We start from the raw sequence: 15,227 nt of genomic DNA, 5'->3' as shown, positions 1-15,227 counted from the left end.
GAAATTAAAACTCCTGCCCACTGCACAGAGAAAACCAATTCACTGAAACCATGGTGTTGCAATAAAGAAAGTTTAACTGACACGAGGCCAGCCACGCCACGTGGGAGATGGAGTTATTCCTTTCATGCGCGTCCGTGTGAAGAGACCACCAAACAGGCTTTGTGTGAGCAAAATGGCTGTTTATTTCACCTGGGTGCAGGCGGGCTGAGTCCGAAAAGAGAGTCAGCGAAGGGAGATAAGGGTGGGACCGTTTTATAGGATTTGCGTAGGTAAAGGAAAATTACAGACAAAGGGGGTTTGTTCTCTGGCGGGCAGGAGTGGGGGTCGCAAGATGCTCAGTGGGGGAGCTTTTTGAGCCAGGATGAGCCAGGAAAAGGACTTTCACAAAGTAATGTCATCACTTAAGGCAAGGACCAGCCATTTACACTTCTTTTGTGGTGGAATGTCATCAGTTAAGGTGGGGCAGGGCATATTCACTTCTTTTGTGATTCTTCAGTTACTTCAGGCCATCTGGGCATATACGTGCAAGTCACAGGGGATGCGATGGCTTGGCTTGGGCTCAGAGGCCTGACCATTACTTAAATCAATTTCCCTGAAAATTTGGAGGCTACTGTATTTCAAGGGTAGTTTAGCAGGCCAGGGAGTCCGCTTCTGAGTGGGGCCACAGGATCAGTCGGACATCAGAAATGCAAAAACTTGAAAGGACATCTCAAACGGCCAATCTTAGGTTCTACAATAGTGATGTTTATCTGCAGAAGCTGCAAATCTTGTGACCTCCAGAGTAATGGCTGGTCGTCGTTTACATCTATATTTTAGCAGAATCCAGGCTCCTCTCATCCTCCTAACCTACTGGCCTTTCATTAGCTTTACACAGGCAGTTCAGTTCGGGAGAAGGGCTATTATCGTTTAAACTATAAATATCTTCCAAAATTAGTTTGGCCCAGGCCTAGGAGTGATGAAAGACAGTTTGGAGGTCAAAGGCAGGATGGGGGTTGGTTAGATCAGGTATCTTTCAACGTCATAGTTTTCTCACTGCTGTAATTTCTGAAAGGTGGTTTCATCACTTCCAAGAGGGTAGAAGACATGTCCTACTCTGGCGGCAATTCCTGCGGGTGGCTGAAGGACTGAATCTGCACAGAGCGGCTGTCAGAGGCCAGTGCGTTCTCTGCTCCTTGTGTTCCTATCACCCAACTCTCCTGTAAGCCAGGCAATAAGAGACGGGAGAAAAACATCCTCATGCAAAGCAGCCGGACCCAAAATGAAGAAATGAAAAGATCAGTGGATCGTTAAGACCCGAAGTCAAATTTTTAACATGCCCCTGACTTTGTGGTTTTAAACTTGCCTGTTTGAGACATGTAAATACTCACTGATTTATAAAAACACCAGTCATCAGGCGTGCCAGTTTGATTCCAGAGAAAACAGTAGAGAGTGCCTTATCGGGAAGAACAAATGGCTGCCCTTATCTAGACGCTTTCACTTACTGCATGGTTCAGCACACGGCATTTTCATGATATGCAGAAACCATCTTCATAAAAAGTAATTTTCCACTTGCCCAATTAAATAACTGTCAAAGCGTATTTCCGAGGAAATTACACTGCATTGTTCTTAACTTTGCTTAGTTGTTAAAAAAAAGTTGACATTTTATTGTGAAATAAAACATATGCAGAAGAATTCACAAATCACACATTTACTAAATGATTATAAAGCAAATAGCTATGTAACCAGATCACAAGCAGAGCCCTGCCAGCACCCCAGAACCCCCACGGATCCCATCCTAACCACAGCCCCATTCCCTCATTGGGAAATGTGTTTGGTTTTATTTGCAAGCCAACCCATAACCTCACCTCATGTTCCAAGAAAGTCCCACAGTGATATGAGGCCAATCTGTTCAGCTATTTTTATAGGGAATTCTTTACCGCCTAAATCCAAAATACTTCCAAAATACTTCCCACTTCTGGGAGCCTGGAACTCACTCCCACGCTCTTGGCCTCATCCAGGGAGGAGCTTTCTCGCAAACCTGTCGCTCCAGGTCCTAAGAAACCAGATTTTATTAAAAGATTGGGTTTAGGACAATTAGGTAACTGATTAGTCTATCACAGTTGTCTGTGACAAGAACATAAATATTAGAGTTGAGACGTCAATTTTGTGAATAAAACCAAGCAGAAACCCTAACAAAGGCAAGAAGGGGTTTGTTTAGATCAGATGCAAGGGCTTCTGGTCCAACAGGCAGACAGAGCCCTCATGTCCATCCATTTCCTGCTGAAACCTGGCTAAAAATATTTAAGTGTTGAAAGTAGAGAAAGAAGATAGAAGGCATGGCCGGGTGTAGTGGCTCACACCTGTAATCCCAGCTCTTTGGGAGGCCGAGACAAAAGGATTGTTCAAGGCCAGGAATTCAAGGCCAGCCTGGGCAACATGGTGAGACCCTGTCTCCATTTAGAAGAAAAAGAAGAAGAAGAAGAAGAAGAAGAAGAAGAGGAAGAGGAAGAGGAAGAGGAAGAGGAAGAAGAAGAAGAAGAAGAACAAGAATTGGAGGAGGAGGAGGAGGAGGGGGAGGAGAAGGAGGGGGAGGAGGAGGAGGGGGACGGGGAGGGGGAGGGGGAGGGGGGAGGGGGAGGAGGAGGAGAAGAAGGAGGAGGAGGAGAAGAAGAAGGAGGAGGAGGAGGAGAAGAAGAAGGAGGAGCAGGAGGAGGAATACAATGGTCCAGTGCCAAGACAGTGAAAGGCAGAGGGCCATGGCAAAGTCTGAGGGCTGGAGGCAGATGGACAGATGATGGACGAATGGGCACCGGTGAGGCCAACCAGAGGAGGCTACCGGAGCTACAGGGAGAGCCTTTCAGGCATCTCTGAAAGGGGACATCAGGCGAGGCTGAAAGCAGGAGGCACAGGATCACCAGGTCCTGCTCCACACCCAGGAGGGCAGGTGGCAGCCCCAGCCCAGCTCGGAGGGCCCAGGAGGAATCGGCCAGAAGACACTGTCATGGAGATCCTGAGGCAGCAATGGGAAGCAGGAGGAGTGAAAGAACAGTGGCCTTTGCCTACTTGGATCCAAGAGTTGTGGCAGTCGAATGACAGATCCTTCCGCTCCGCACCCCAGGGGACAGCATGACAGATCCTTCCGCTCCGCACCCCAGGGGACAGAATGACAGATCCTTCCGCCTCACACCCCAGGGGACAGCATGACAGATCCTCTCGCCGCACACCCCAGGGGACAGCATGACAGATCCTCTCGCCGCACACCCCAGGGGACAGCATGACAGATCCTCTCGCCGCACACCCCAGGGGACAGCATGACAGATCCTCTCGCCCCGCACCCCAGGGGACAGCATGACAGATCCTTCCGCCCCGCACCCCAGGGGACAGCATGACAGATCCTTCCGCCCCGCACCCCAGGGGACAGCATGACAGATCCTCTCGCCGCACACCCCAGGGGACAGCATGACAGATCCTCTCGCCCCGCACCCCAGGGGACAGCATGACAGATCCTTCCGCCCCGCACCCCAGGGGACAGCATGACAGATCCTCTCGCCGCACACCCCAGGGGACAGCATGACAGATCCTCTCGCCGCACACCCCAGGGGACAGCATGACAGATCCTCTCGCCGCACACCCCAGGGGACAGCATCACAGATCCTTCCGCTCCGCACCCCAGGGGACAGCATGACAGATCCTTCCGCCCCGCACCCCAGGGACCCCAGAATTCCTTTCAGGGAAACACACCCATGAGAAAAATCTGCGTGATTCAAGAGTTCCTCAGTATGAGACCCACGCGCCTCCCTGGTTATCCCCGGTCCCACAGGCAAACCTCCTTATGCCACAGACACACACACACACACACACACGCACACCCGGGGTTCCACATCCTTTCTCAGTGCCTCATGCTGAGAAATAAATAGTCGAAGACCACCAGACACAAGGAAGCCTTCGACATGGAGAAAGAGGCAAAACCAAATTGTGTGGTCAGAGGAGACAGTGAATGGGGCAGAAGAAAACTTCAACAGAGAAAAGCGATTGTTGAAATGCTCCGGGGTGTCTGTCTCCCACCAGTGGAATTGCTGTGACACTCGGTGTGTGTCAGTGTGTGCAGAGGCATCTCCTGTCTCTAGTGGAGACTCTGGGATCAAATTAGTGACTGGTACACGAACACTCATCCAACCACTAGAGGAGGAGGAAAGGGCGCAGGGCTTTATTATGAACAGGCTAGGTCAACAGGACGGGCCTCGGGATGGGAAGTGGGTTTGAAGAGAAAGAGGAATCAAGAAAAATCCCAAAAGTTTTGACTGCAACACCTGGAAGGAGAGCAGCCCCCTGTACCGAGATGGAGGTAACAGGAAGAAGAGCACCTTGTGGGGGAAAGCAAAGCCCTGGTGTGGGTGGCCTGAGGCTGTAGAAAGTGTGTGATGCTCCAGATAAGGTGTCAGCTGACCCAGTATTCAGGTCTGGGCTGGAAGTGAGATTTTGGGAGCTTCTTGGGTATGGATGTGATTTACAGGTGACTTTGCCTGGGAAGATCCTACAGATGGAGAAGAAAGACAGGAGGAGGTTAGGATGATGGGAGGGGGACCAGGATCGGGCTCCAGGATCCCTCCCAAAAAAGCTCTTCTGGAGGAAGGGTTGGTGGAGCAAGTGCTGGCCGCCGGTGCCCTGGCAGGGGTGACTGTGGGGGGCAAAGGGCACTGTGGTGGGCCTTGGGCCTAAGAGACAACAGGAAAGAGGAGGTGGGGCTGGTGTGTGTAGGAAGTCCTTCTAGGTGGTTTCTCTAGAAAGAGAAGAGGTAGCTGCTGGAGGGGGTGAGATCCAGGGGTCTTTTCATGGCAGCAGCTCTCAGCATGGCATAGATGGACCAGTACCCCTGAGTGTAAAGGGGCGACGGTCCCGGGTGGAAGGGGCTTTGGACAGGCAAGGGAGGGGAGACAGTGCAGAGCCTCAATGCTGGTGGGCGGGATCAATGTGATGGTAAGCAGACTGGGACATTCTCTCAGGAGTTATCCATAAAACCTAGTGGACAGTTAAAAAGAGGGGAGAGAGAGAGAAAGAGAGAGACAGCAGTGGGAGTCCAGGCAGATGTGAGTTTGTGACCCAGGGAGGAAGCCTGGCAGAAGGGGCCCCTTTCCTCCAGATCTGGGGATCTGGGACCTAGGAGTGTCTTGGGATCTGTAATGACTGGGAAACATCCAGGGCAGTTTCCACGGCAGCCCCAGTGCGCCAACACCTGGTCCAGGAGGACAGAGAGATTTACTGAGTCCAGACTCGAAACAGAACTACACAAATAGGAAGGTGTGGAGGGGGACGTGGGTCCTGATTTCCAAACTGGGGCCTCCAGCCTTGGATGGAGGAAGTTAGGAAGGAAGGAAACAAGGAGAATTCAGGGACAGCTGGAGAAAAGGCCTGGAGTTCCTACCGGTCTATGGAAAAAGCAGCAATCTTGTGAGTGGGAGCATCATCCGGAGCTGGGTGGGTGGGAGGACTATCAGGGAGGCTCGGGGCTGGGCAGGAGATGGCCCTGCTCTCCTTCCCCTCCCCGTCTTCTGCAAAGCAGGCAGGTCTGCTCGTCCAGTCCTCAGGGGATGCTTAACCTCACTGCACTTTCGGCTATTTGTTTTTTAAGAGTTTGACTGTAACTCCCTGCCCCCAGGTGCTGGCGGTAGGGCTGCAGCTAATGGAGTGGTTAGCCCAGACTCTTTCCCTTCCCAACCCCAGTTCTGGGGAAGACCTCACCTGGGATCTTCCGACCAGTGTCTTATACCCCAGGGGGAACACACCCACTCCAAAGAGCTAACACCCAAGGACTGCAACCCCTGAACAAGAAACGAGTTGAGCTGAGGATACTGTTTAAAGTTTATTTATTTATTTATTTTATTTACCCAAGGACTGCAACCCCTGAACAAGAACAAGTTGAGCTAAGGATGCCATTTAAAGTTTATTTATTTATTTATTTTATTTTTATTTTTTGAGACAAATCTTGCTCTGTCGCCCAGGCTGGAGTGCAGTGGCGTGATCTCGGCTCACTGCAACCTCTGCCTCCTCGGTTCAAGCGATTCTCCTGCCTCATCCTCCTGAGTAGCTGAGATTACAGGCCCGCGCCACCACACCTGGCTAAGTTTTGTATTTTTATTAGAGACAGAGTTTCACCATGTTGGCCCGGCTGGTCTCGAACTCCTGACCTCAGGTGATCTGCCCACCTCAGCCTCCCCTGTTCAAAGTTTTAAAACAGATGCACCAAGAATTTATACAAATAAACATATTCAAAGAGATAAAGGCAGACACCAGAGACATAAAGCAGGGAAGAAGGAATGTCTAGCATCCAATGAAATAATTGAAATAAGGAACATGATGAGGCCAAATGCAGCCAAAGCCAGATGAGCAGGCTAGAGGCAACTCACCCCAAAGGCAATAGGAAAAGAGAGAATGTATGAAAGAATGGTTAAAGGTAAGTAAGGTAATTAAAGAAGTGGAAATGTACAGATAATGGAGTTCCAGGAACAGAGAAAAATAAAAATGGAGAAAAAAATATTCAAAGGTAAAATCAGAAAAATTAAAGATGAAAGCTCTCAAGTTGAAAGGGCTTAGAGAGTGTCTAATAGGATGGATGGGAAACTTACCCATAATTGACAGTGAAACTCAAGAATATCAAAGAAAATTCCAAAAGTTTCTATGAAGAAGAGCAGATCACTGACAAAAGAGTAAGTTTCATTTCAGAGTTTCCAGAGGCCACAATGGGTGCCAGAAGACACTGGAGTAATATTTTTAAAGCCCTCAAGGAAAATAATTTGACATAGAAGCCAGGTGCAGTGGCTCACACCTGTAATCCCAGCACTTTGGGAGGCCGAGGCAGGTGGATCATGAGGTCAGGAGATGGAGATCATCCTGGACAACATGGTGAAACACCGTCTCTACTAAAAATACAAAAATTAGCTGGGCATGGCAGCGCATGCCTGTAATTCCAGCTACTAGACAGGCTGAGGCAGGAGAATCCCTTGAACCAGGGAGTTGGAGGTTGCAGTGAGCTGAGCCAAGATCATGCCACTGCACTCCAGCCTGGGAGACAGAGCAAGACTCTGTCTAAAAAATAAATAAATAAATAAAATAAAATAAAATAAAATAAAATAAAACATAAAAAAAGGAATTTGACATAGAATTTTATAGCCAGCTCAACTGTCACTGAAGTATAAGCACATACCAAATTATCTTCCAATATAAAAGGCCTCAGAAGATCCACTTTTCCAAAACTCACTTTGAAAACGTTCTTCAAGGAAATTAGAAGATAAATAAATCCAGGAGGATGTTGATAGGAACTATGGGTATAAAAAACTTTAGATCAAATAGATTTTAGTAGTCTATTGTTATCTAAAAAAGCCAGGAGCAGCCAGGTGCGGTGGCTCACGCCTGTAATCTCAGCACTTTGGGAGGTCGAGGCGAGCGGATCACAAGGTCAGGAGATCAAGACCATCCTGGCTAACACAGTGAAACTCCATCTCAACTAAAAATACAAACAATTAGCTGGGCGGGGTGGCGGGCGCCTGTAGTCTCAGCTACTCGGGAGGTTGAGGCAGGAGAATGGCGTGAACCCGGGAGGCAGAGCTTGCAGTGAGCCAAGATCGCACCACTGCACTCCAGCCTGGGCAACAGAGCGAAACTCCGTCTCAAAAAAAAAAAAAAAAAGGCCAGGACCAAAGTGAGGAGAGAAGATGAAGTACATTTACAACAATGCAAAAGTAAATATTTAAACAGAATCAACATGGGAGTCCAAAGATTTAATATTAATCTGCTCAGGAAATCAATACGATTAGCTATGTATTGATGTGGATCTTAAACTAAAGGTAACCACCATTAAAATCGATAGGAGAAACTTAGGGAAAAAGAAATGAATGTAAAAGCCAATTATGAATGAAGGAGGCAGAAATAAAGTCCTGCTGCAACCAGACACAATCAACTTAATGAGCTAAAACACCAATACGAAGCTTGGATTTATAAAGAAAGAATCAACAGTTTTCCAAGAGAAGCATATTTAAAAGTAAAGGATACTAAAAAGTTTAAAATAAATAGAAAAAGAAGTACTAGGCAAATTGGAATCAATATAAAACTAGATAGTAGCCCTGCTATCTGCCAAGTCCAAAGCAATCAGCGAACAGCATGCTGTTACACACCTGAAAGAGGAAACAGATGAACAAGATGCAACCATCATGATCACATGTGTACTTAAGCATGTTTCTTTAAAAAAGCAAAAACTGACCGGGTGCAGCGGCTCATGTCTGTAATCCCAGCATTTTGGGAGGCCGAGGCGGGCGGATCTCCTGAGGTCAAGGGTTTTCGAGACCAGCCTGGCCAACATGGCGAAACCTCATCTCCACTAAAAATACAAAAACTAGCTGGGCATGGTGGCGCATGCCTGTAATCTCAGCTACTCGGGAGGATGACGCAGGAGAATCACTTGAACCCGAGAGGCAGAAGTTGCAGTGAGCCGAGATTGCGCCACTGCACTCCAGCCTGGTGACAGAGGAGACTCCGTCTCAAAAAAAAAAAGCAAAAACTGACACAACTCTACAGAGAAAAACATAAGTTGGCAATTATACTAGATATTTCTTAAAACATATAAAATAGCAGACATCAAAGATTTGAAACATACAAATTCTAAATTATTATATTTACATAGAACTCTGCATCCGATGGAGACTATACTTTTAAAAATGCATAGAATGTTTACACAATTTGATCATATATCATGAAAAATGTATTTAGCAAGAAAGAAACACAATAAACTCTAAAGCAACAAAGTGTGTTCTAATGTAATAGTAAAATAAATTTTGAAATAAATAACAAAAGGATAGAAGTTTTAAAATACCACATTTTTGGAAAGGAAATGACATTACTAAATATCCCTTGGGTTTAAAAGTAAACCAGAAGAGGGTTACAAAATATTTAGAACCAAATGAAAATAAAAACAAAAATGTCACACTTTGTGAAACAATGTTAAATTAGCACTTAAAAGAAATTTTATAATTTCTAATGTATTTACAGGAAGCAAGAAAACTTCAAAATAAAACAAAATATTCAATACAAAAATCTGAAAACTGAATAGAAACACTGAATACATTGAAAACAACAAGAAGAAAGGAAATAATGAATATAAGGACAGAAACAAATAAAAACTTATCAAAAAGATTAGCCAAAAAAACCACTACTTCTTAGAAAGATTAATAAAGTAGAGCTTGAAAAAGACCAATCAAACCAAAAAACAAGCAAGTAAGATACAAATCAACAAAATATAGAACAAAAGACCCTACAGATATAGAGAGATTTGCTAACATAAAAAAGTACTTTTTAAAAAATGTTACATTAGTTAGGAAATATAGATGAAAGACATATGTTTTTCAAAAATATAAATGCTGAAATTGTAACAAGAAGGATTTCTGTAAAAAAAATCCTGCATGATTTCATGTGTAAGACGGCCTAGAACAGGTTAACTAATCTAAGTAGAAAAATAAACTAGAAAGGGATCAAAGACCTAAATGTAAAAGGTAAAACTAGAAAACTCTCAGAAAAAACTATGAGTGTCAATCTTTGCAGTCTCAGGTTAGGCAAAGCCTTTTGTGATATGATCCGAAAACCACAAACAACAAAAGAAACATAGAAACTTCTAGAAACATCAAGAGAGTGAGAAGACAAGCCCCAGAGTGCAAAGAGGTCTGTGCAGACCAGGTGTCTCATAAGTGGTGTGCATACAGAATAGATCCAGAACTCTTCCAACTCCACGATCAAAGAATTACCCTACCAGGCCAAAAGGACACCGGATGTGAAGAGGCGTTGCTCTCAGGAAGACACACGAAGGGGCCAGGTGCCAGTGAGGTCACTCAGCGTCATCAGCCATCAGGGAAATGGGAAGCAAGCCACACTCAGGCACCACCGCGCACCCACTAGCATGGCGGTCGCGACGCAGATGGGCAGTAACAAGGGCTGCTGAGGATGTGCCGAGCCCGGAACCCTCACGCACTGAAGGGAGCGTAAAGCAGCCAAGAGTGCAGGTGCTTCGTGAAACGGTCTGGCAGTTCCTCAGCATCTAACCAGCAGTGGGACCCAGCAGTTCCATTCCTAGCGGAATACATAAGAGAGGGGACGCCTATGTCCCCACAAAAACATGCACATGATGTTCATCCCAGAACTGTTCATAACAGCCAAAAAGGGCAGATGACGCAAATGGCCATCAACTGATGGACAGCTACATAAAATGTGGTCAATCCATACGATGGGGTATGATTTGGCAATAAAAGGGAATAAAGAACTGGTACACGCTACAACACGGATGAACCTTGAAAACATGGTGCTGTGTGAGAGAAGCCAGCTGCACAAGGCTATGTATTGTATGATTCCCCTTATAGGAAATGTCCAGAATGGGCAAATCCATAGAGACAAAAAGATAGCAGTTGCCTAAGGTCAGGGAGGAGGACTGGGGCGGGGCGGGGGGAGGGGGGGCGGGAGTGAGGGTCGGGGGGCGGGAAATGGGTAATAGCTACTAATGGGGACAAATACTTTTTTTTTTTTTTTTAGGTGATAAAAATGTTCTAAAATTGATTGCGGTGGTTTCACAATTCCATGAATACTAAAAAACACTAAATACACTTTAAACGGGTGAATTTTATGGTATATGAATTATAGTTCAGGAAAGCTGTTAAAATAAACGAACTGGTTCCTTTTGGAGAAAACAGGGCAGGAGAAATAGAGAGGAGAAGACATTTCTCTGGGCACAGCTTTTTGAATAGTTTTAACTTTTGGAATCATGACATTTTACATATTCAAATAATAAAATTATCAAGAATCGGGGAAAATGCTACAACAGAATGCCAACAAAGGAACCCAAGTGTCTGTCAAATGATTAGCCATCATCTGAAGGGGAGTCGGGACAAAACAAATTTAAGTAATTTTTGGAGACAGCACTTTGACTGCATACCCTCAGACTAAAGAAAAAAGCTGCAAACAGATCTGGAACTCTCCATGGGTTTGTTTCTTGTGGCCCTGTGGGTGGAGCCATTCCAAACCTGCTCTGTGTTACAGCGTGTTTGAGCCATGCGTGATGCTGTCTCTGCTGTTGTGAGCCGGGGTCGTCACCATGCAAGACGGGATGCACAGGAATGAGGCAGGCAAGGAAGTGCCGTGGGGCTGGGTTGCAGCAGAGGTAGAAGGGTGTGGAGGTTCTGATGGCCCATGAGCAATGAGCACATCTCCCACCCACATCTTAACTTCTAAATTCCATTCCTCACTAAAAAGAACCAGAATTCTCAGAGAAAGGGCTGGATCCAACCACACGGCAGAGAAGGCGTGTGTCTGCTGCATACAAAATAAGGACGTGGCCAGGTGCGTGGCTCACGCCTTCAATCCCAGCACTTTGGGAGGGCGACGCAGGCGGATCACAAGGTCAAGAGATCGAGACCATCCTGGCCAACAAAGTGAAACTCCATCTGCACTAAAAATACAAAAATTACCCAGACATGGTGGCACATGACTGTAGTCCCAGCTACTTGGAAAGCTGAGGCAGGAGAATCGCTTGAACCCAGGAGGCAGAGGTTGCAGTGAGCCGCCACTGCACTCCAGCCTGGCAACAGAGTGAGACTCTGTCACAAAAAAAAAAAAGCAAGAAAGAAAAGAAAAGAAAGAAGGACGTGCTCCATATACACCACGGAATACTATGCAGCCATAAAAAAGGATGAGTTCGTGTCCTTTGCAGGGACATGGATGAAGTTGGAAACCATCATTCTGATAAAACTATCACAAGGATAGAAAACCAAACACCGCATTGTTCTCACTCATAGGTGGGAATTGAACAATGAGAAGACTTGGACACAGAAAGGGGAACATCACACACCGGGGCGTGTCGTGGGGTGGGGGGAGGGGGAGGGATAGCATTGGGAGATATACCGAATGTAAATGACGAGTTAATGGGTGCAGCACACCAACATGGCACATGCATATGTAACAAACCTGCACATTGTGCGCATGTACCCTCGAACTTAAAGTAAAATAAAAATAATAATAATAATAAAAAGAAATGCAGACATGTAAAAAAAAAAAAGAAAAAAGAAAATAAGGATGTGCTCAAAACAAGGACTGGTACAAAGAAGGACGATTCAACAGCCTGAAGAGACCCCCACAGCAAACCTGGAACAACGGGAGCAGCAACATCACAACAACAATCAATTATAACCCACTATAAATAGAATACCGTTGCCAAACAGAGAATCCAAGAACCCACAGGGATAATAAACAAACACTGGGAAGAAAGTAGCCCTTCTTTATAGAATGCAGTAAGAAGTGACGGAGTTGGAAAATTAGCAATATTGAGCCATCACCGTGAAGGTTGACCCAACTGAGTGCAAACGTGACTTGGTGCCAGTGAGGCCAGCTTGGGGCAGGAGGCAGCTTTATGTGCAGACAGGGCGTTCTCAGCCTCAGCAGATCTCCCGCAATATACCCAAGGACGAGGAAAATCAGTGACTGTTCAGAGGAGGAACCACCTTATCAGGGACCAAAATTAACATTGCCAATCAGGGCAAGCTGACAGACGTCTCTGTGTTTGATATCTCAAGGACACCGTTTACAGAGCACTCCAGCCAGAAATATATAACTCGAATTCCATCCTGACAAAATACCAGACCAAACCAAATTGAGGGCATTCTTTAATATAACCAGCTGGTATTTGTTCAGAAATATCACTGCTGTTAAAGACAAAGACAGGCTGAAGAACTGCAGCAGGTTAAAGAAGAATAAAGAGATATGATTACTAAACAGAGCATGTGATCTGGTACTCCGTCCTGGACCAAGAAAAAAAAGGATAGGAAAGAAACCGTCAAAGTTGGAATGAAAACGGTAGATGAGATAAAAGGTACTGGCTCCATGTTACATTTCTTGAATTGATAGCTTATGTGGTTACATAAGAGAATATCATTATTCTTAGGAAATAAACATTGAATTTTTTATTTTTTTTTTAGACACAGTCTCACTCTGTCACCCAGGCTGGAATGAGATTGCGTGATTTCAGCTCACTGCAACCTCCACCTCCCGGGTTCAAGCAATTCTCCTGCCTCAGCTTCCCTAGTAGCTGGGATTACAGGTGTGCACCTGGTTAATTTTTTGTATTTTTAGTAGAGATGGGATTTCACCATGTTGGCCAGGCTGGTTTCGAACTCCTGGCATCAGGTGATCCACCCGCCTCAGCCTCCCAAAGTGCAGGGATGACAGATGTGAGCCACTGTACCCAGCCAATAAACACGAAAGTATTAAGGGGTAAGGGATATAAAGTAACGTAGGGGAAAGAAAGAAAGAGGAAGAGGCAAGGAGAGGGACAGAGACAGTGGGAAAGGGAAGAGACACTGCTATGACAAACGTGGCAAAAAGTTAAAAATAGATAAATAGGGATAAAGAGTATATGGAAGATTTGTTCTTTTTTCCCCCTCAAATTTCTGTAAGTTTGAAATTAGTTCAAAATAAGAAGCTAAAAACAAAAATAAAACGGAACAGAGCAACTTCCTTTAAACCAGGAAGCCTCCTTTTGAAGCTGCAGCATCTGAGATGCAGGCGGCGAGTCCAGCCCCTCCACTCTGTCTCCCCTCCCAGCCAAGATGATTTTTAAAAGTCCACAGTTGCAAACCGTAAGTGTCTCCTAGGGAGAGCTTTCTATCATTCACGTGGTTAACATGGTTAGCAGGTTAACACCTTCATCCTGTGTGTTTAGGAACGTCTGTGAGAAAGGGTAAAGGTGAACACGGCAGGTGGGGCGTTTCCTTCACTTTTGCGGTCAGGCCGGTGTTTTCCTTGCGTGATGGGACCCCAGGCTGGTGGCCCAGGGCTGTGCCACTCGTTGCTTCCCATGCCTGAGTGTGGATGTGGATCCTCATGCCTGCCCCTCATGGTGCCAACGGCAGGTGCCCCTATAGGCATCGGGACTGTATTTCAAGGAAAAAGGAGGCAGGAAGGGGCGGGAAGGTGTCCTCAATCCAGGCTTGCCTTCACTTGCAAAGGCAAACGCACTCAGCTGCAAGCCCTCCCCTTCTCAGTGGCCAGAACTGTGCTGTGTGCATGCCAAGGGCCAGAAGACAGACACCAGCTGGCAGAGGACTGGCTGACCAGGGACCGACGCTGGCAGAATGCAATTCCAGTCCTGCAACTAGTTCCAAATTAAAATGTAAAAAGCCACATTTAGCAAATGAGATTTTTCCTGAGCTTTATTTTTTTAAGGGCTGCGTGCTTTCTATTTGAGATAATCTGAAATTACAGAAAACACACAATGGGAATATCGCATGGTGGCCTCCACCTTTCTAAGCTTTGGCTGTTGCCACAAAACCACTCTATGGCTCTAACGTTCTGTGCTCCGTGATTGTTTTGTGTGGAAACAAAATCTCTGGGGTTGACCAGATATGCTTGGAAATTCCTTGCAACAAATGAAACAGCAGCTAAAATGCACTGTGTTCCAATTGGGATTTTGCATTTCCCATATGATTTTTGAAAAACAACACAGAAAACGTGAACGTTACAAGGACTATAAAACTTTTCTGTGTAGGCCAGGCACGGTGGCTCATGCCTGTAATTCCAGCACTTTGGGAGGCCAGTATGGGAGGACTGCCTGAGCCCAGGAGTTTGAGACCAACCTGAGCCAGACAGCAAGACCCCATTTCTACACAACAAATTTAAAAATTAGCTAGGCATGGTGACATGCGCCTGTGATCCTAGCTACTTTGGAGGCTGAGGCAAGAGGATCACTTATGCCTAAGAGTTTAAGGTTACAGTGAGCCACGATCACGCCACTGCACTCCACGCCTGGCCGATAGAGAGAACCTGTTTTAAATTAAAAAAAAAAAGTTTTTTATGTAAAGTTTTGGCAGAAACTTTTCAGATTGAGACTTGACATTTAATAACTTTCTGTAATAATGGAGGATTTTAACTTTGGTTTAATTTTTGGACTCTTTTGATGGGTTTGAGGTTGCAGGTATCAAACCCTGCAGGAATGGGCTGTGCACGGCTTCAGGCGGGCTGGAGTGCTAACTGAGGCTGCCAAGCGTGAAACAGCACAACGGTAAAAGCAAAATACATGCAGAGAGAAAAGAAATGAATTCACTCCATGGGCCTGCAGATGTGGAAAAGAAGTGTCACTAAGGCCAGGCGCCTGTGCTCTGGGGTTCCTGGCCAGGTTCCCAGAAGGAAGGGTGTGGTTTCTTTTTCCTCTTGGATGGCTGGCTGTG

The 15,227-nt window shown here is 46.0% G+C and overlaps 1 non-coding gene across 1 annotated transcript, besides 3 other annotated features; it reads right to left on the bottom strand.

Annotated features, from left to right (window-relative positions):
• Nucleotides 120-781: an enhancer, noted in NCBI's record as "OCT4-NANOG-H3K27ac-H3K4me1 hESC enhancer chr8:1749255-1749916 (GRCh37/hg19 assembly coordinates)". NCBI's record gives its function as "activates a minimal SCP1, AML or CMV promoter by ChIP-STARR-seq in naive and primed H9 embryonic stem cells {active_cell/tissue: H9 hESC(naive and primed)}" and the evidence as "EXISTENCE:reporter gene assay evidence [ECO:0000049][PMID:30033119]".
• Nucleotides 120-1,814: a biological region, named in NCBI's record as "CDK7 strongly-dependent group 2 enhancer GRCh37_chr8:1748222-1749421".
• Nucleotides 615-1,814: an enhancer, noted in NCBI's record as "CDK7 strongly-dependent group 2 enhancer chr8:1748222-1749421 (GRCh37/hg19 assembly coordinates)". NCBI's record gives its function as "activates an origin of replication core promoter dependent on BRD2, BRD4, P300/CBP, MED14 and CDK7 cofactors, with strong dependence on CDK7, by STARR-seq in HCT116 cells {active_cell/tissue: HCT116}" and the evidence as "EXISTENCE:reporter gene assay evidence [ECO:0000049][PMID:35650434]".
• MIR3674 (microRNA 3674) lies at nt 678-745 on the bottom strand. Its single transcript, NR_037445.1, has one exon. It is a non-coding gene; the product is annotated as a microRNA 3674 (primary transcript).

The sequence above is a fragment of the Homo sapiens genome, chromosome 8 (assembly GCF_000001405.40).
Source record: "Homo sapiens chromosome 8, GRCh38.p14 Primary Assembly".
NCBI classification, from domain to species: domain Eukaryota; kingdom Metazoa; phylum Chordata; class Mammalia; order Primates; family Hominidae; genus Homo; species Homo sapiens.
Note: the sequence above shows the minus strand (reverse complement) of the source record. Positions and strands in the feature narration are given on the sequence as shown.